This window comes from Homo sapiens, chromosome 19 (genome assembly GCF_000001405.40).
Source record: "Homo sapiens chromosome 19, GRCh38.p14 Primary Assembly".
NCBI classification, from domain to species: Eukaryota; Metazoa; Chordata; class Mammalia; order Primates; family Hominidae; genus Homo; species Homo sapiens.
The window spans coordinates 37,196,683-37,217,405 of record NC_000019.10 but is presented as its reverse complement, the minus strand read 5'-3'; the positions used below and the strand labels follow the sequence as shown (position 1 = coordinate 37,217,405).

At 41.9% G+C, this 20,723-nt stretch overlaps 1 protein-coding gene across 1 annotated transcript in view; it reads left to right on the top strand.

The window, feature by feature from the left end:
* The first annotated feature begins 6,869 nt into the window (after positions 1–6,869).
* The window catches only part of ZNF585B (zinc finger protein 585B), a 28,958-nt gene continuing 15,104 nt past the window's right edge, over positions 6,870–20,723 (top strand). Inside the window, exons 1-2 of the mRNA NM_152279.4 lie at positions 6,870–6,965; positions 10,152–10,366. Coding sequence (NP_689492.3) covers positions 10,295–10,366 — 72 coding nt within the window. The 5' untranslated portion in view covers positions 6,870–6,965; positions 10,152–10,294. The remainder of the gene's footprint in view (positions 6,966–10,151; positions 10,367–20,723) is intronic.

The window sequence follows — 20,723 nt, the reverse complement described above, 5'->3', positions numbered from 1 at the left end:
AATCAACTTTACTGAAGAATAATTTAGATACAATAAAATGCACTCATTTTAAGTGAACTGTTCGGTAAGCTTCAACGCATGTCTAAACCCTTGTCACCACCATCGTAATCAGGATATAGAATATTTTTTAAAATTAAAAAATTTTTAAGCATTTTAGTTAAATTTTTGTGGGTACATAGTAGTTGTATATGGGGTACATGAGATGTTTTGATACAGGCATGCAATGCGTAAGAATCATATCATGTAAAATAGGGTGTCTATCCCCTCAAGCATTTATCCTTAGTGTTACTGGATATAGAATTTTTTTTTTTTTTTTTTTGAGTTGGAGTCTAGCTGTCACCCAGGCTGGACTGCAGTGGCGAGATCTCGGCTCACTGCAAGTTCCGCCTCCCGGGTTCAAGCGATTCTCCTGCCTCAGCCTTCCGAGTAGCTGGTATTACAGGTGCCCGCCACCATGCCTGGCTAATTTTTGTATTTTTAGTAGAGACAGGGTTCGAGCTCACAGGCTGGTCTCGAACTCCCGACCTCGAACTTCTGACTTCGTGATCCGCTCGCCTCGGCCTCCCAAAGTGCTGAGATTACAAGCGTGAGCCACCGCGCCCGGCGGATATAGAATATTTTTATTCACCGCCCTCTGCCCCCCACATTGTTAAGTCAATCCCCACCTCCCAAACCCCACATCAGGCATCTATTGACTATTCTAAGGAATGAGCAGTAGTATCAAATTATGTTTTTAATTTGCATTTCCTGATGTCAATGAACTTAGCATACTTTCATATACTTATTTGCCATTCTTTTATCTTCTTTTGTGACATCTATTGAAAATATTCGGCTGGGCGCAGTGGCTCACGCCTGTAATCCTAGCACTTTGGGAGGCTGAGGCGGGCAGATCACCTGAGGTTGGGAGTTCGAGACCACCCTGACCAACGTGGAGAAACACCGTCTCTACTAAAAATACGAAATTGGCCAGGCGTGGCGGTGCATGCCTGTAATCCCTGCAGGAGAATCACTTGAACCCGGGAGGCAGAGGTTGCTGTGAGCTGAGATCACACTGTTGCACTCCAGCTAGGGCAACAAGAGCAAAACTGCATCTCAAAAAATAATAATAAATAAATAAATAAATAAAATTTTCTTATTTTAAAATTGGTTATTATTGAGTTGTAACAATTCTTTATATGTTTGGGTAAAAGTCCTTTGCCAAATATACATATTGCAAATTGCAAATATTCTCTCCCTGCCTGGGGCTTACCTTCTCAGTTTTTTTTTTTTTTTTTTTTTGAGACAGGGTCTTGCTCTGTTGCCTAGTCTGGAGTGCAGTGGTGTTAACATAGCTCACCACAGCCTTGACCTCCTGGGTTTAGTCGATCCTCCTGAGTAGCTGGGACTGCAGGTGTGCACCACCACCCCCAACTAATTTTCTTGTGTTTTGTGGAGATGGGGTCTCACTGTGTTATTACAGGTGTGAGTCACTGTGCCCAGCCCTCAGTTTCTTCATGATGTCTTTCAAAAAGCAGTTTTTACTTCTGATGAAATCCAATTTCTCATCTTTAAAATGTGCTTCATGCTTTCTGGTCTTTCTAACAATCTTTGACTCCTCTAGTGTTGTGAAGAATTTCTCCTATGTTTTATTCTAAAGGTTGTATAGTTTTAGTTTTTATTTTTGGTCTATCATCCACTTGAAGTTAGTTTTTGTGTATGTGAGGTAATGTTCAAAGTTATTATTTTCCAGATGGAAATTCAGTTGTTCTAACATCACATGTTAACAAAACTATCATTTTCCTCTTGAATGACCTCAACATCTAAAGTAGGCAGGATAATGTTCCCCCCAAAATACCCACATGCTAGTTCCTGGGACTTGTGAATATGCTATGTTACATGGCAAGTGGAATTAAATTAACAGGTAGAATTAAAGTTGCTAATCGGCTGACCTTAACATAGGGGAATTATACTGGATTGTCCAGTTAGACCCAATGTAATCACATGGGGTCTGAAATGAGGAAGAAGGCATAAAGTCAGTGTTGGAATTGTGTGCTGTGAGAAACACACGACCAGCCATTATTGGGTGTAAAGATGAAAGGAGCCCATGAGCTGAGGAATGCAGGCAGCTTCTCCAACTTGGAAAATGAAAAAAAACAAATTCTCCAGAGCCTCCAGAAAGGAATGCAGCTTGCAAACTTTTGATTTTAGAGCAGAAAAAACTCATTTCTTTTTTTTAATTTTTAATTTATTTTTTTAATTTTTATTTATTTATTTTGAGATGGGGTCTCCCTCTGTTGCCCAAGCTGGAGTGCAGTGGTGGGATCTCGGCTCACTGCAACGTCTGCCTCCTGGGTTCAAGTGATTCTCCTGCCTCAGCCTCCCTAGTAGCTGAGATTACAGGCACCCACCACCATGCCCGGCTAATTTTTCTTTCCTTTTTTTTTTTTTTTTTTTTTTTTTTTTTAAGTAGAGACAGGGTTTCATCATGTTGGCTAGGCTGGTCTTGAACTCCTGACCTCAAGTGATCTGCCTGCCTTGGCCTCCCGAAGTACTGGGATTACAGGTGTGAGCCACTGCACCCAGCATTTTTTTTTTTTTTTTTTTTTTTTAGAGACAAGGTCTTGCTCTGTCTCCCAGGCTGGAATGCAGAGGTATGATCACAGCTCACTGCAGCCTCATACTCCTGGACTTAAGCATCCTTCCGCCTAGGCCTTCTGAGTAGCTGGGACTATTGGTGTACACCACCACACCTGGCTAATTGAAAAAAAAATTTATAGAGAGAGGGTTTAGTTATGTTGCCCAGTCTAGTTTCAAACTCCGGGCCTCAAGTAATCCTCCCACCGAGGCCTCCCAAAGTGCTGGGATTACAGGCATGAGCCACCACAACAGCTGTGTCATCCCAACCCCTCTCTGGGCTTGATCACATAAAGAAGGCTTGCATTCCTCAGATAAAAGCCATTTATTTTCTTTTTCAACACTATGCGGAGTGAGATAAGCCAGACCAAAAGGACAAATATTGTATGAATCCACTTATATGAGGTGCCTAGAATAGGTGTATTCATAGAGACAGAAAGTAGAATTGAAGTTACATGAAGTTATATGAGGTACATGATAAAGCCTCTATACTTAAAACAGTGTGCTATTTGTGTGTGGTTAGAGAGACAGACAAAGGGAGGAGGATGGGAAATGGAGAAATAAACATCCATGGCCGGGCGCGGTGGCTCACGCCCAGCCCTTTGGGTGGCCGAGGTGGGTGGATCACCTGAGGTCAGGAGTTCGAGACCAGCCTGGCCAACATGATGAAACCCCATCTCTACTAAAAATACAAAAAATAAGCTGGGCATGGTGGCATGCGCCTGTCATCCCAGCTACTCAGGAGGCTGAGGCAGGAGAATTGCTTGAACCTGGGAGGCGGAGGTTGCAGTGAGCCGAGATTAAGCCACTGCACTCCAGCCTGGGCAACAGGAGCAAAACTCCGTCTCAAAAAAAGAAAGAAAGAAAGAAATTAACATCCCGGCCAGGCACGGTGGCTCACACCTGTAATCCCAGCACTTTGGGAGGCCAAGGCGGGTGAATCATGAGGTGAAGAGATCGAGACCATCCTGGCCAACATGATGAAACCCCGTCTCTACTAAAAATACAAAAATTAGCTGGGTGTGGTGGCACGCGCCTGTAGTCCCAGCTACTCGGGAGGCTGAGGCAGGAGAATCGCTTGAACCTGGGAGGCAGAGGTTGCAGTGAGCTGAGATTGTGCCACTGCGCTACAGCCTGGTGACAGAGTGAGACTTCATCTCAAAAAAAAAAGAAATTAACATCCACATAGATGCTTAGTATTTGATAAAGGTAGCAGCTCAAATCACCACAGTCACATCATAAAGTTTTATGCAGCCCATACACACACAGCAGAAAAAAAAAAAAACGAAGCTCTCTACGGAATGACATTAACTCTGGAATATATAAAAAATGGAAAGTATAGAACAGTGTAACATATAGTTCGTCTAAAAAAGAAAAGGAAATTAGATTAGATATAAGCATTTGTTTATATTCACTAAAAAAAGAAAAGATAGGAAAAAAGAAGTATTGGAAACGTGAACCAGAAACAATACCTATAGTGATAACCTATAGTGATTGGGGTGGTGGGGGGAGTGAGACTTGATATGTCTTTTTATACAGTTGCATAGGAAAAACAAACTGGTTTTAAAAATATATACTCTCACAACACTCAATACTTCCAGAATGTTTCGTTTTTAACACAAAATATGTGGAGTTTTTCTGACACCACTTCTCCAGCCCTCCCTACATGGGTGTCCTACAATTGAATTCAATTCTGACACTAACCTGAGTTAGCACAGACCTTACAGTTTAATTGCTCAGTCCCACAAGACTGCCCACCTCTTCAGATGCCAATGACAACTACTAGGTCACCTGATTACCAACAACTGCCCAGTTTGCCTGAAAATTAGAGGTTCTCATCATCCCCTTCTTGGATTTGATTCTACCAAACTTTTAAGGGAGAACAAATTCTAATATTTCTCAAACTAATCCAAAAAAATTGAAGGGGAAGGAATTTTTCCAAACTGATTCTGTGAGGCCAGCACCATCCTCATACTAAAACCAGGCAAAGACAGAAGAAAGAGAAAACTACAGGCCAAGATCCCTGATAAACGCAGATGCAAAAATCCTCAACAAAATACTAGCAAACCAAATCCAATAGCATGTCAAAAAGATACACAATGATCAAGTGGGACTTATCCCAGGGAAGCAAAGATGGTTTAACATATGCAGATTAGTATGTGCAATACATCACATTGACAGAATGAAGGACAAAAATCATATGGTCATCTCAATAGAAACAGAAAAAGCATTTGACAAAATTCAACATCTCTTTGCAATCAAAAAAAAAAAAAAACAAAACTCCCTGGCCGGGCTCGGAGGCTCACGCCTGTAATCCCAGTTCTTTGGAGTCTCACTCTGTCACCAGGCTGGAGTGCAGTGGCTCCATCTCAGCTCCCTGCAACCTCCACCTCCTGGGTTCAAGTGATTCTACTGCCTCAGCCTCCCAAGTAGCTGGTACTACAGGCGCACGCCACCACACCCAGCTAATTTTTGTATTTTTAGTAGAGGCAGGGTTTCACCATGTTGGCTAGGATGGTCTCGATCTCTTGACCTCATGATCCACCTGCCTCGGCCTCCCAATGCGTTGGGATTACAGGCATGAGCCACTGCGCCCAGCTGGGATTGCTTTTGAGCCTGGGCAGTCAAGGTTGCAGTGAGCCATGATTGTGCCATTACACTCCAGCCTGGGTGACAGAGTGAGACTCTGTCTCAAAAAAAAAAAAAAAAAAAAAGCAAGATTTTCTTCAGGTGTTTTTAGTCACACGTTGGCCATATTAAAGACTGTTATTATTATTATTGTGCTGTTGTTGTTGTTGTTGTTGTTTTGAGATGGAGTTTTGCTCTTGTTGCCCAGGCTAGAGTGCAATGGCATGATCTCGGCTCACTGCAACCTCCGCCTTCTGGGTTCAAGCGATTCTCCTGCCTCAGCCCCCCAAGTAGCTGGGATTATAGGCACACACCACCATGCCCAGCTAATTTTGTATTTTTAGTAGAGACGGGGTTTCACCATGTTGGTCAGGCTGGTCTCGAACTCCCCACCTAAGGTGATGTGCCCGCCTCGGCCTCCCAAAGTGCTGGGATTACAGGCATGAACCACCACGACCAGCCAAGACTATTATTATTTTTATTGTTGCTGCTTACTATAGTTGTGCTTGAGTTAGCTAGGGTGGATGCTGATGGAGATTAAGGGGATTAAAATATCTATACCTCCCAAAGCCTTCTACCAGCCGTTTCAAAGGGGATGCTTAGACTTCTAACCCCTCTTCCATGGTATCTCCTAGAAGAGGATTGTACTAACCCAACTTCTACCCTATTTCCTAATGTGTTTTCAACTACTAAAAATTGTACCTCCCTTCCTGCAGGATACTACCTACTGTGACATAACTCCGTCTTGCCTAGTGGTTTCACCCAGGAGTGAACTCAGATCCCAGTCCACCCTTCTCCTGAGTGGTGTCTCCAAAAAATAGATTGTACCATCCTGATGCCTCCTCTTATCTCCCTTATTTCTCTCAGGATCCCTGGCTTCCTAGTTCCCCCATGGTTTCTCCTAGTAAATCGTTGTTTTCTGCAGTGTGCCGTAACCAAGGGGTAACTTAGGTATTGTAAATATAACAGCCGGAGGCGGTGGCTCACGCCTATAACCCCAGCATTTTGGGAGGCCGTGGTGGGTGGATCATTTGAGGTCAGGAGTTCGAGACCAGCGTGACCAGTAGAGACGTGAAACTGCGTCTCTACTAAAAATACAAAAAAATTAGCTGGGTGTGGTGGCGCTTGCCTGTAATCCCAGCTACTCGGGAGGCAGAGGCAGGAGAATCGCTTGAACCTGGGAGGCAGAGGTTGCAGTGAGCCGAGATGGCGCCACTGCACTCCAGCCTGGGCGACAGAACAAGACTCTGTCTCAAAACAAACAAACAAACAAAAAAAAACATAAAGCTCCAGATCCTATCTTCAGGAACTTCTTCTTGGGTACAAGCGTGGTCACACTGGTTACAGTCTTGCATTCTATGTGAAAATCCTTGCCTTACTCTAGTCAACACTCCAGGAGGCGGACTCCTCCACTGTACGGAATCGATACGCATCAAAGATGGCGACCCACACAAATAAACACCATAAGGGCGCGGTTATATTCTCTGCCCGTGAGCGCCGATTACGGAAACTGCACGATGTCTCTAAATATGTGTGTGCTCCCTGTTGACTGTGGGCTGAAATTGGCTTCCAAGTTAATTTAGAGCATGCGCAATATCAACAGTCCATAAGGGGAGGTGCTAGAAGTCGGACCGGAAGTGGAAGTGGTCCCCGAAGGCTATTTCGCCGCTGGCGTCAGGACTATTTTCACGTTTTAATGCCGAGAGGTCTCTGTGACGATTTTGGTTGGTTGCAATTAGGGATTCTGTGAAGTCAGTAATAGAGGAGTTGTCTGTGGAATTAGTGATGGTGGTTTCGGGGCATGGTGATGGGGGTCTGTGACGTCCGTTGATGGTTGTCTGTGACAGGGATTTCTCGGGTCATTGATGGGGCTCTTTGGGATGAGTGATTGGGGTTTGGGGGTCAGTGACGGGAGTCTGTGGTCAGTGACTGAGGGCCTGTAGGGTCAGCTATGGTGGTCGGTGAGGACTGTGATCAGCTTGCTTTCTGACCTGAGTTGAAAGTTCAGTTCTTTCCATTTCAGCCTGTAATATAAAGATTAACAAGTTTTGATGTGTAGCAGTTTCGTATTGTTCAAATCTAAGTGTTTAAAAATTTTTTTCAGTAATTGTTTTTCTTTGACCCATGAGCTGTTTAGAAGTGCACTTTATGGCCGGGCGCGGTGGCTCAAACCTGTAATCCCAGCACTTTGGGAGACCCAGGCGGGCGGATCATGAGGTCAGGAGATCGAGACCATCCTTGCTAACACGGTGAAACCCCGTCTCTACTAAAAATACAAAAAATTAGCCGGGCGTGGTGGCGGGCGCCTGTAGTCCCAGCTACTCTGGAGGCTGAGGCAGGAGAATGGCGTGAACCCGGGAGGCGGAGCTTGCGGTGAGCCCAGATCTTGCCACTGCACTCCAGCCTGGGCCACAGAGCACCAAAAAAAAAAAAAAAAAAAAGAAGTGCACTTTATGTTTCAATTAGTGTCTGTAGGTGATGCTTCAGTTGAACAATTGCTTTATGGCCTAGTTCTTCCTCATTTTTCATAAATGTCACATCTATTACATGAAAAGAGTGTAATATGTTCTCTAATTTGTATTGTTATGGATATTAATCATATGTTATATATATTATGTATCTCCTCACAGATTATTTTGTTGAGGAAGGTAAACTACTCACATTGGAAAAGTTATTTGTCCACCTGTCCTTTCTTCTGTTTCTGCTTTATATATTTAAAACTATATTATTGGGATCAGTTGAGTGTATTGCTAGATATGACTGACCGGGCCTGGTGGCTCACGCCTGTAATCCCAGCACTTTGGGTGGCCAAGGTGGGCAGATCACCTGAGGTCAGGAGTTCGAGACCAGCCTGGCCAACATGGAAAAACACCTCTAACCAAAAATACAAAAATTAGCTGGGTGTGGTGGTGGGTGCCTGTAATCCCAACTACTCGGGAGGCTGAGGCAGAAGAATCACTTGAACCTGGGAGGCGGAGGTCGCAGTGAGCCAAGATCATGCCATTGCACTCCAGCCGGGGCGACAAGAGTGAAACTCCATCTCAAAAAAATAAAAAAATAGATATGACTAAATAGCTCAAAAGACATTATAGCAATTCAAGCTTCAACCAATAATTTATAAAAGCAATTTGCCTAAATGCTTTCCAACAGTGGATGTTGTCACTTTTTTTTTTGAGACAGAGTCTTGCTCTGTCGCCCAGGCTGGAGTGCAATGCCGTGATCTCCGCTCATTGCAACCTCTGCTTCCCTGGTTCAAGCTATTCTCCTGTCTTAGCCTCTTGAGTAGCTGGGATTTCAAGTGCCCGCCACCACGCCTGGCTAATTTTTGTATTTTTAGTAGAGACAGCGTTTCGCCATGTTGGCCAGGCTGGTCTCGAACTCCTGGCCTCAAGTGATCCATTGTGCTTGGTCTGTTACTTTTTTAAAGCTTTTATGATTCTAAGGAAAATTTCTCTCTAATTGTTCTGACGCGTTTTTCTTTTAGTTAAGTTGGTATCTTTTTGTTAATTGCCATTTGCTTCCTTTTCTCTGAATTTTCATACCTTTTCCAGTTTCTTTTATTTTTTTTTTTGGCCTTTTTTGCTTAGTGATTGCTTAGAGTTAACATTACAAGCAAGCTATCATCACATATTGAAAAAATTTCTTATATATCTTTATGTCGAATTTTATGGTTTATTTAAACATATAATTAGGAAACATAATCAGAAATACCTGTTTTTTTCTGTTATAGCTTCTGGGTTTCCTGTCATGTGTAATAAGATCCTTATCACCCCACCACAATGCTATACAAATATATAGTCTGAAAATTATTTTAATATCCTTAGGGGTTTTAAAAAATGCATGTATTTAAATGTTTAGTGCTCCTGGAATTTGTCTACTTAATAGTGTGAGGTGGGTTGGGCGCGGTGGCTCACGCCTGTAATCCCAGCACTTTGGGAGGCCGAGGCAGGCGGATCACAAGGTCAGGAGATCAAGATCATCCCAGCCAACATGGTGAAACCCTGACTCTACTAAAAATACAAAAATTAGCTGGGCGTGGTGTCGCATGCCTGTAGTCCCAGCTACTTGGGAGGCTGAGGCAGTAGAATCACTTGAACTCTGGAGGTGGAGGTTGCAGTGAGATGAGGTTGTGTCACTGCACTCCAGCCTGGCCACAGAGCGAGACCCCATCTTAAAAGAAAAAAATATTGTGTGAGGTGGAGATCTAGTTTGTTTTATTCCAGATGCATGGCCAATTGCATGCACCAATTGGGGATATGTATACAATGAATGCCGTGTGCACACTCAATCGCATATCATTTTTATTTCATATATAGATCAACATTGTCTGATATGTTTATTATCTTACTTGTTTTGATGACATGGTTTTCTGTATTACGTTTTAATATAGTGCATGGTAATTGCTGATATTTATTGCGTGATTCTTGCATGGCAGGGAGGCATTGAGTACTTTAAAAGCATAATCTCATTTAATCTTAGTAACTGTGACACAGGCATTTTCATCCTTATTTCTGAAACAAAATCTGAGTAACTTCTTTATATTCTCATTGTTGAAAAGTGGTACAGCTGCAGTTCAAATCTGCAGTAATGTTACTCTAAATTTCATGGCTTTTCCCATATTTCAGCACTGTTCTCCACAGTTCTGAAAGTGTGGTTCTTGTACCAGCAGCATCAGCATTTCCTGGGCACTTATTAGAAAATAAAATTCTTAGGGCCTACCTTAGACCCATCGAAGGGGTGAAGTTGAGAATTTTAAACTATGTTTTAACAAGCCCTCCAGGTGACTTGAATGCATACCTACGTTTGGGAACCACTGCTCTGGTTTCTAGCGCAGGGACCTGCACCTTGGTGTATCCAGGAAGTGTTTATGTAGTGAATGTTGAATGACTACGTGGACATTGTTTTTCTAGGTTCTTGGGTGTCTCTGGGGAGTCCCTGGGCCAGACCTTCCTCCAGACTCCAGCCCACCTCTTCGGAGCAGCTCTGCTGAGTTCACAGATGACCACTAAACTTCAGGCACCCTAGACAAAAAGGGTTGAGATCCAGTGTGGCCATGCCAGCTAGTTGGACCTCACCCCAGAAATCCTCAGCCCTGGCTCCAGAGGATCATGGCAGCTCCTATGAGGTGAGGAGGAGGAGTCCCAAGGGGTGGAATTTCAGTCCAAGAGTAGATAGCTCTAATCTGTCACCACAGCCTTAGGGCAGAGGCAGACAGGCCTTAGGAACCAGCTGGACTCTAGACTTGGTGCTCCTGAAAGAAAACTTGATCTTCCTGTCAAGAATGAACACGTGGGTAATGTCTCCGTCTCTGGAGGCCACCTGTGTGACAGTGGAGAGGTGCACTGTCAAGGAAAACTGTTGTTGATTTTGTCATCACGCTATATTGATGTTTTGGCTGCAAATAGAATTCCTTGTTAGAAGTGACTTTTGTTTGAGATTTTGAAAGCATTTTTTCATTTCTTCCTAAACCACCTCCTCAAACACAAATGTTTTCTCTGTTTTCTTTCTGAAACTTGTTTTTCAGATGTTGCTTCTCCATTTCTTTTCTCTACTATTTTCTATGTATTTCCTGCTATCCATTCTGGGTAACTTTGACACCTTTTGCCTTCCAGCCCTTCTATTGAGCTTCTCATTACCACTATCCACATTTTAACTTAATGTTTTAATTTTTAAAAACTCTAGTTTGTTTCCTAAAATTTTTTTTTTTTTTTTTGAAACAGAGTTTTGCTCTCATTGCCCAGGCTGGAGTACAATGGCATGATCTCGGCTCACTGCAACCTCCGCCTCCTGGGTTCAAGAGATTCTCCTGCCTCAGCCTCTCAAATAGCTGGGACTACAGGCATGTGCCACCTCGTTCGGCTAATTTTGTATTTTTAGTAGAGACGGGGTTTCTCCGTGTTGATCAGGCTGATCTCGAACTCCTGATCTCAGGTGATCTGCCCACCTCAGCCTCCCAAAGTGCTGGGATTACAGGCATGAGCCACTGTTCCCAGCCTGTTTCCTAAATTTTTTTTTATTGCCATCCCGTTCTTATTTCATGGATGTAATGTTATTTTTTAAATTATTTATTTATTTATTTATTTATTGATGGAGTTTTGCTCTTGTTGCCTAGGCTGGAGTGCAATGGCATGATCTCCGCTCACTGCAACCTCTGCCATCCAGGTTCAAGCAATTCTCCTGCCCCAGCCTCCTGAGTAGCTGAGATTACAGGTGCGAGCCACCACGCCTGGCTAATTTTTGTATTTTTAGTAGAGATGGTGTTTCACCATCTGGGCCACGCTGGTCTCGAACTCCTGACCCTCAGGTGATCCACCTGCTTCGGCCTCCCAAAGTGCTGGGATTACAGGTGTGAGACACCATGCCCGGCCTGGGTGTATTGTTATTTCTTATCCATCTGAAGATATTGTGATAATTTATTAGGAATAGTTTAATCTTTTGAATAGGCAATGCATATACCTAGTTCAAAAGTTAGAAATATATGAAAAGCAATATATTGAAAAGTATTATGGTGAAAGAGATGGGACTGTGGTTCACCCACCTCTGCCTTCCATCTACCTGTGTCTCCCGGTAGTGATAACCTGCTTTATTCATTTTCTTTGATTGCTTAGTTCTGTATACAAATGAAAACAACTACAATTTTTTTCTCTTGATTTCAGAATGGCATAGCAGATTAACTTTTTTGTACATTGCTGTTTTAATGTTTGTTTGGTAAAATACAGAAACTATTATGAACAATATCGCAGTGGATATTGTCATGCCTTCTCTTTCTATTGGATATATTAGAAGTAGTGGAATTTCATTTCAGGGTTCTAGTCACGTGGTGAGAGTCTCATCTGCACCTCAGTGAACCTCTACTTTAGTTGCTCTTGGGCAGTTTTAGGATTGAGTATCTTAATAATTTTATTCTAGAAGATAGGAAGGATAGCTTGAGGCTAAAGTTACAGTTGGTAAAGCAGCAGCAGTTGGCTGGGCACGGTCGTTCACACCTGTAATCCCAACACTGGAAAGCCAGGGTGGGAGGATGGCTTGAGGCCAGAAGTTCAAGACCAGCCCTGGCAATGTAGTGATTCCCTGTCACTACCAAAAAAAAAATTTAATTAAATTAAAAATTAGTTTGGGCCTGGTGCGGTAGCTCACACTTATAATCCCAGCACTTTGGGAGGCTGAGGCAGGCAGATTGCCTGAGGTCAGGAGTTCGAGACCAGCCTAGCCAACATGGTGACGCCCCGTCTCTACTAAAAATAAAAAATATTTGTCAGGCATGGTGGCGTACGCCTGTAATCCCAGCTACTCAGGAGGCTGAGGCAGGAGAATCGCTTGAACCTAGGAGGCAGAGGTTGCAGGGAGCTGAGATTGCACCACTGCACTCCAGTCTGGGTGACAGAGTGAGCCTCTGTCTCAAAAAAAAAAAAAAGAAAAACAATTAGTCTGGCATGGTGCTGTGTGCCTATAGACCCACCTGCTCGGGAGGCTGAGGCAGGAGGATCACTTGAGCCTAAGAGTTCGAGATTACACCTAGCTATGAGCATGCCACTGCACTCCAGCCTGGATGAAAGAGATAGACTTTGTCTCAAAAGAAAAAAGCAGCAGTCTCTTGCATTAGGCAGAATAAGGAGACTTTTATTCACTTTTGTGGTTTGAAGAATGTTCTGATTTTTGTCTATGCTCAAATATAACGACAGAGTGGTCTTGGTATCATCTTACACCATGATGGTCAGAGATTGGTCTTGTTTGCTGTTGGTGTTCTAAGAGATTGTTTTTGTGTAGCACCATGGAGAACACCATGAATTAGCTGGCCCTTGCCAGGTTAGCTTCTAGCAACACTGAGGCTTAATTGATAGTACGAGGCTAACTCTCAGAGGTTAGGACTGCTTTTGTCCTCATTTAAAAATAAGAGAGTGAGCCAAAAGAAAGCTAGGGCTGCAATTTAGGAACAGATCAAAAGGGATTTAAGATGAAAATCACCTAAAGGGATGAAAACATGTTGTTCATCCTTATGAAAAGAATCATGTACAAAGAATTATACAAATTATTAGCATTTTTTTAATTAATAATGTATCTTTGAACTATTTTAAGTAAAAATGAACAGAAATCATTAAATGCAATATTGGCCATTTTATCACACTACTTTCAGAAGCTTATTGATCAAAGCAGATAAAAAATATAAATCTTTGCTATAATATTGATTGTTTTCTGACAAAGAGCATTAAATTACAAATAAGTAAAAGGCTCTTGAAGGCTGGGTGCGGTGGCTCATGCCTGTAATCCCAGCACTTTGGGAGGCCGAGGCGGGCAGATCACCTGAGGTCGGGAGTTTGAGACTGGCCTGACCAACATAGTGAAACCCTGTCTCCACCAAAAATACAAAATTAGCTGGGCGTGGTGGCCCATGCCTGTAATCCCAGCTACTCTGGAGGCTGAGGCAGGAGAATTGCTTGAACCCGGGAGGTGGAGGTTTCGGTGAGCCGAGATTACACCATTGCGTTCTAGCCTGGACAACAAGAGTGAAACTCCATCTCAAAAACCAAAACAAAACAAAACAGAAAGGCTCTTGCACAAAATGTGAATGTACTTAATGCCACTGAACTGGACACTTAAAAATAATTATAATGGCAAATTTTATGTATATTTTACCACAACGCAAAATAGTTCAATAAAGTACTACTTTTTTTTTTTTTTTTTTTTGTGACAAGATCTTACTATGTTGCCCAGGCTGGAGTGCGGTGGCACGATCTCAGTTCACTGCAACCTCTGCCTCCTGGGTTCAAGTGATTCTCCTGCCTCAGCCTCCCTCCTAGCTGGAATTACAGGCACCTGCCACTGTGCCCTGCTAATAAAGTACTACATTTTAAAGTTCGTGTGGTAAAGCTAAACTGTAGATAGAGGGGAAAACTATAGATTAAGTGCCTTTTAAGGAATCTTAGAAATTTTGGGAAAAAAGCAGTTATGGTTTCAACTGAAGAAGTTACAAAAAGAATGAGTCAAAAAATACAAAAAAGAACGAGGACTAAAAAAAGAAAAGCAAAGACATGAGTCACAGAGAACAAAAAATGGTTGATAAAAATGTGACAGAAACACAAGTTGCTTCTCCATATTAATGATCAAGAAAAAAGAGTGAAGATAAACATAATCAAAATATGTTAGAAAACAGGAGTAATAGTTACTTCTATACCTAAGATTCAAACAATCACGAGTGAGTATTATGTAAAATCATGCAAATAGGGCTGGGCGTGGTGGCTCATGCCTGTAATCCCAGCACTTTGGGAGACCAGGGCCAGTGGATCACCTGAAGTCAGGAGTTCGAGACCAGCCTGACCAACGTGGTAAAACCCTGTCTCTACTAAAAATGCAAAAATTAACTGGGCATGGTGGCACATACCTGTAATCCCAGCTACTCAGGAGGCTGAGGCAGGAGAATCGCCTGAACTCAGGTGGCGGAGGTTGCAGTGAGCTGAGATTGCGTCATTGTACTCCAGCCTGGAAAACAAGCGCGAAACTCCATCTCAAAAAAAAAAAAAAAAAAACCATGCAAATATATGAAAACCTAAACAAAAGGATGAAATTTTATAAGAAATAAATTTTCAACTCGGTAAGAACAAATTATACAGAAGCCCTTAAAGGAATTAAAATGTTGATTCAACACCCCCAACGCAGTCAAAAATGATGGAAAAGATCATGTGATTTTACAGTTGATTTTCATGCCAAAGTTTTGAGTAACAGATAATATCAGAAATTATTCTCAACCTTGTTTCAGGTTTTTGTTTTATTTTGTTTACAGAGTTAACTTCAATGCCCAAAAGAACTGGAAATAAATAGATTCAGAAGTCAAATGTATTCACTAACTGTATTCAAGAGTAGATGAGGCCGGGTGCCGTGGCTCACGCCTATAATCCTAGCACTTTGGTAGGCCAAGGAGGGTGGATCACCTGAGGTCGGGAGTTTGAGACCAGCCTGGCTAACGTGATGAAACCCTGTCTCTATTAAAAATACAAAAATTAGGCGGGCGCCTGTAATCCCAGCTACTGGTAGGCTGAGGCAGGAGAATCACTTGAACCCAGGAGGTGGAGGTTGCGGTGAGTTCACACCATTTCACTCCAGCCGGGGCAACAAGAGCGAAACTCTGTCTCAAAAAAGAAAAAAAAGAGTAGATGAAAACAGTAGACTAATAGTTTATCACTGGGAAAAAAGTGAAGCAAGCACTGTTTTCTCATTCAGCAGCCCAGTCCAAAGTCAAAGAAGTCTAAAAACTAAAATAGTAAAATACCTCAAAAAAATACTGTATATCAGAAGTAATGGTACACAGTCTAGCAAAACAGTACCAAAAATAATTTAGAGAAGTAATTTACCTTATGCAATTACATTTAAAAATCTAGAAAAAAAGAATGAAATTCTAGTAACATATTGTTTCCCACCAAGCACCAAGTCTTCATTGACCACTTACCACATTTTCATTTCTACATGTTAAGACTTTCATTTAAAATATTCTACTTTTAATAAAATTAGGATTGCAGAGATGGAGAGAATTATTTGCATGTGGCATAACATTAAAGGTTTTTGTGTTTTTTGTTTTGAAAATTTTATGTTTAACATTTCTGAATGTTACACCGGCACTGTGTAAACAGGAAATCTGTTTCCAGGATATAGAATTTGATATCTTAGCAATAAGATTTTATTGGTAACTTATAAGATATCTTATATAGTTATGAGGCTTTCATAGTATTAATGATTTTTTTCTACTTTATCAAATGGAGCTGGGAGATATTATGTAAAGTTTCCCACCACCAATGTATTTCTTGCTATTATTTTCCTATAGTTTCCTATAGTTTATAAATTTTGATGCTATGTAATTTGGTGCAGTGACAGTAATGGCATCTGAGATTCATTTCAGATTGTGTCCTTGTCATATTTAATTTTTTTGGTGAGAATTCAGCTCAAATATTAAGGTGGAGGTTCTTGCTTCCTTTCCTTTGGCAATTCCAGATAGGCCTTTGCTCCTCCTTTTACTGTCATCCTTTGGAGTCCTTGTACATTTCTTCTGTATGGCAGTGGAAAGATAATTTTTTTTTTTTTTTTTTGAGACGGAGTCTTGCTCTGTTGCCAGGCTGGAGTGCAATGGCATGATCTTGCCTTATGGTAGTCTCTGGCTTCCGGGTTCAAGCGATTCTCCTGCGTCAGCCTCTGGAGTAGCTGGGATTACAGGTGTGTGTCACCATGCCCGGCTAATTTTTGTATTTTTAGTAGAGATGGGGTTTCACCACGTTGGGCAGGATGGTCTCAAACTCCTGACCTCAGGTGATCCGCCTGCCTCAGCTTCCCAAAGTGCTGGGATTACAGGTGTGAGCCACCGTGCCTGGCCTCTGTTTTTTCTTTTGTTCTTTTAGTGGCGGCTTTATAACATTACCTTCTTTAACCCAATCTTTATATCTATCGTTTAAGACTATTAAATTTATACTGTGAATAACAATAAAAGTTCTATACTGCCACTTCAAGGATTTTTTAATTAGATGTTTTTATTAAATTCTTTTTTTCTATTTTCTTTTTGAAACTCCTTATTTCCATTTTATGTTGCTCACTTGTCTTTGCCACCTTTTGTGCTTTTTTTTTTTTTTTTTTTTGAGACAGAATCTTGCTCTGTCACCCAGGCTGGAGTGTAGTGGCACGATCTCGGCTCACTGCAACCTCCATCTGCCGGGTTCAAGCGATTCTTCTGCCTCAGCCTCTTGAGGAGCTGGGATTACAGGCGCGCGCCACCATGCCTGGCTAATTTTTGTATTTTTAGTAGAGACAGGATTTCACCATATTGGCCAGGCTGGTCTCGAGCTCCTGACCTCATGATCTACCCACCTCAGCCTCCCAAAGTGCTGGGATTAGAGGCGTGAGCCACCGTGCCTGGCCTACCTTTTGTGTTTTAGCAGGGTCTTTTCATTGCTTTCAAGGAGACCTTTATTTCTGTGTTGCTTGAAAAACAAAAAAACTTTACTGAGTTCTGCCAATTTATTTTTCAAAAATTTACATAACCACATTCTTAGCCTATCTGTTTTTCCACTATTTCTTCCTTGGGTTTAATTATTTTATTTTATTTTATTTTATTTTATTTTATTTTATTTTATTATTTATTTTTGAGACGGAGTTTCGCTCTTGTTGCCCAGACTGGAGTGCAGTGGCGCCATCTCGGGTCACCACAACCTCCACCTCCCAGGTTCAAGCGATTCTCCTGCCTCAGACTCCCTAGTAGCTGGGATTACAGGCATGTGCCACCATGCCCAGCTAATTTTGTATTTTTAGTAGAGACGGGGTTTGTCCATGTTGGTGAGGCTGGTCTCGAGCTCCTGACCTCATGATCCACCCACCTCGGCCTCCCAAAGTGCTGGGATTACAGGCATGAGCCACAGCGCCTGGCCTGTTTAATTATTTTAAGTAGTTATAATTATAGTGAATTCCTTGAATTCATGGTGGATGTTTTTTCTGTTGTGTGTCAATTTATTTGTAGTATATTATTTGTAGTGTATTCCTTTTAATCTCCTCTCTATTTTTGTTTTATCCTTTTTGCTCATAGTATCTTTGTACATTAGGCGATGCTTAGTATTATCTTTGAGTGAGGAGGTTTCTTCCTGGACAAACTGTTATTTTAATTGTTTTTTGAAACGGGGTCTCACTCTATCCTCAGGCTGGAGTGCTGTGGTGCAATCACGGCTCACTGTAGCCTGGACTTCCCAGGTTCAATCGATCCCCCCACCTTAGCCTGCCGAGTAGCTGGGACTACAGGTACGCGCCAATAGAACTGGCGAAATTTTGTATTTTTTGTAGAGACAGTTTCACCATGTTACCCAGGCTTGTCTTGAACTCCTGGGCTCAAGCAATCTGCCTGCCTCAGCCTCCCAAAATCCCAGGATTACAGCATGGGCCACTGCACCCAGCCTGGACAAACTGTGTATAAGAAGCTCATTTGGTGAGGTGGTAAAGCTCTATTCCAGCCTAACATGACATCTCGTGTTCCTACTAAATTCTTGATAACATAGGGTTTGGGGGTTGGGGAGTTTGGTGTGTGTAGGGTGTGACTATACAAGTGTATGATAAAGAGAAAAATTAGAACATGTATATTCTTTTCAGGTATATAGGTACCATTTTCAAAGAAATGATGTTCTGAGCCCTATAAGCACAATCAATATGCATCACAAGAGACAAACTGTAATCTCTGAATGCAGTTAAATGAAGAAATCAACAAGGTAGCTTTCAAAAATCATAATTTTACATATTAAAAATTATAAATATCTTTAGTACTTTTCTTTCCACTTCCATCTGCATGCTCATACCCTCCCCTGAATCCAGTGACCTCTATACAAAGGACCTCTGAATCTTTATACAATAAATAATATTGTGACTATATTAATAATATAGCTTTCTTTTTTTTTTTTTTTTTCTTTTTCTGAGACAGAGTTTCACTCTTGTTGCCCGGGCTGAAGTGCAATGGCGCAATCTCGGCTCACTGCAACCTCTGCCTCCTGGGTTGAAGAGATTCTCCTGTCTCAGCCTCCCAAGTAGCTGGGATTACAGGCACGTGCCACCACACCCAGCTAATTTTTGTATTTTTAGTAGAGTTGGGGTTTCTCCACATTGGTCAGGCTGATATTGAACTCCTGACCTCAGGTGATCTGCGCCTTGGCCTCCCAAAGTGCTTGTAAAACACTGGAATGGCCTGGCCTGGTGGCTCATGCCTGTAATCCCAGCACTTTGAGAAGCTGAGGCTGGTGGACCACCTGAGGTAGGGAGTTTGAGACCAGCCTGACCAACATGAAGAAACCCAGTCTCTACTAAAAATACAAAAATTAGCCGGGCATGGTGGCACATGCCTGTAATCCCAGCTACTGGGGAGGCTGAGGCAGGAGAATCGCTTGAACACGGGAGGCGGAGGTTGCAGTAAGCCAAGATCACGCCATTACACTCCAACCCAGGCAACAAGAGCAAAAGTCCATCTCAAAAAATAATAATAATAAAATAAATAAATAAGCTCTCTATTCAGCTAATCTCTATCACAATTAATCATAAGCTCTCTATCCACCACCTAGTGTACACCCTCGTATATATCCTGTCAGCTAAATCTCAACATATACAAAATTTAAGTCATTTTTTTTTATTTCCTCAGCCTTCTCTACACATTCCTGGCACCAGAATGTACATAGTGACACAAAATTGATGACTAAGAATTATTTCTTAATCCTTTTTCTCACCTTCATATTCAACATCAGGTCTGCCTCCCTAATAATTAGTGCCATTTTCCTTCTACATCCCTGTTAACATTATAGCCTTACTTTATGTATTAGGTTGGTGCAAAAGTAATTGCGGTTTTGCCATTAAAAATAATGGCAAACAGATACTTCTCAAAAGAAGACATCTGTGCAGCCAACAGACACATGAAAAAAATGCTCATCATCACTGGTCATCAGAGAAATGCAAATCAAAACCACAATGAGATACCATCTCACGCCAGTTAGAATGGCAATCGTTAAAAAGTCAGGAAACAACAGATGCTGGAGAGGATGTGGAGAAATAGGAACGCTTTTACTCTGTTGGTGGGAGTGTAAATTAGTTCAACCATTGTGGAAGACAGTGTGGCGATTCCTCAAGGATCTAGAACTAGAATTACCATTTGACCCAGCAATCCCGTTACTGGGTATATACCCAAAAGATTATAAATCATGCTACTATAAAGACACATGCACATGTATGTTTATTGCGGCACTATTCACAATAGCAAAGACGTGGAACCAACCCAAATGTCCATCAGTGATACACTGGATTGAGAAAATGTGGCACATATACACCATGGAATACTATGCAGCCATAAAAAAGGATGATTTCATGTCCTTTGTAGGGACATGGATGAAGCTGGAAACCATCATTCTGAGCAAACTATCACAAGGACAGAAAACCAAACACTGTATGTTCTCACTCGTAGGTGGGAATTGAACTATGAGATCACTTGGACACAGGGTGGGGAGCATCACACACCGGGGCCTGTTGTGGGGTGGGGGGCTGGGAGAGGGATAGCATTAGGAGAAATACCTAATGTAAATGATGAGTTGATGGGTGCAGCACACCAACATGGCACATATGTACTTATGTATCAAACCTGCACGTTGTGCACATGTACCCTAGAACTTAAAGTATAATAAAAAGAAAAAATGGCAGAAACCGCAATTATACTAAGCACAGTTGTCCTTCAAACGATGCAGGCTTGGGGCGCTAACCTCTGTGCAGTTGAAAAGCTGTGTATAACTTTTGACCATCCCTGAAACTTAACTACTGATAGCCTGCTGTTAACTTACCGATAGCAAAGAGTTGGTTAACATGTATTTTGTATGGTATATGTATTATATTCTGTATTTTTATAATAAAATTCAGCTAGAGAAAAGAAAATGCTTTTAAGAAAATCAAAAGGAAGAGAAAATATATTTATTATTTATTAAGTGGAAGTGAATCAT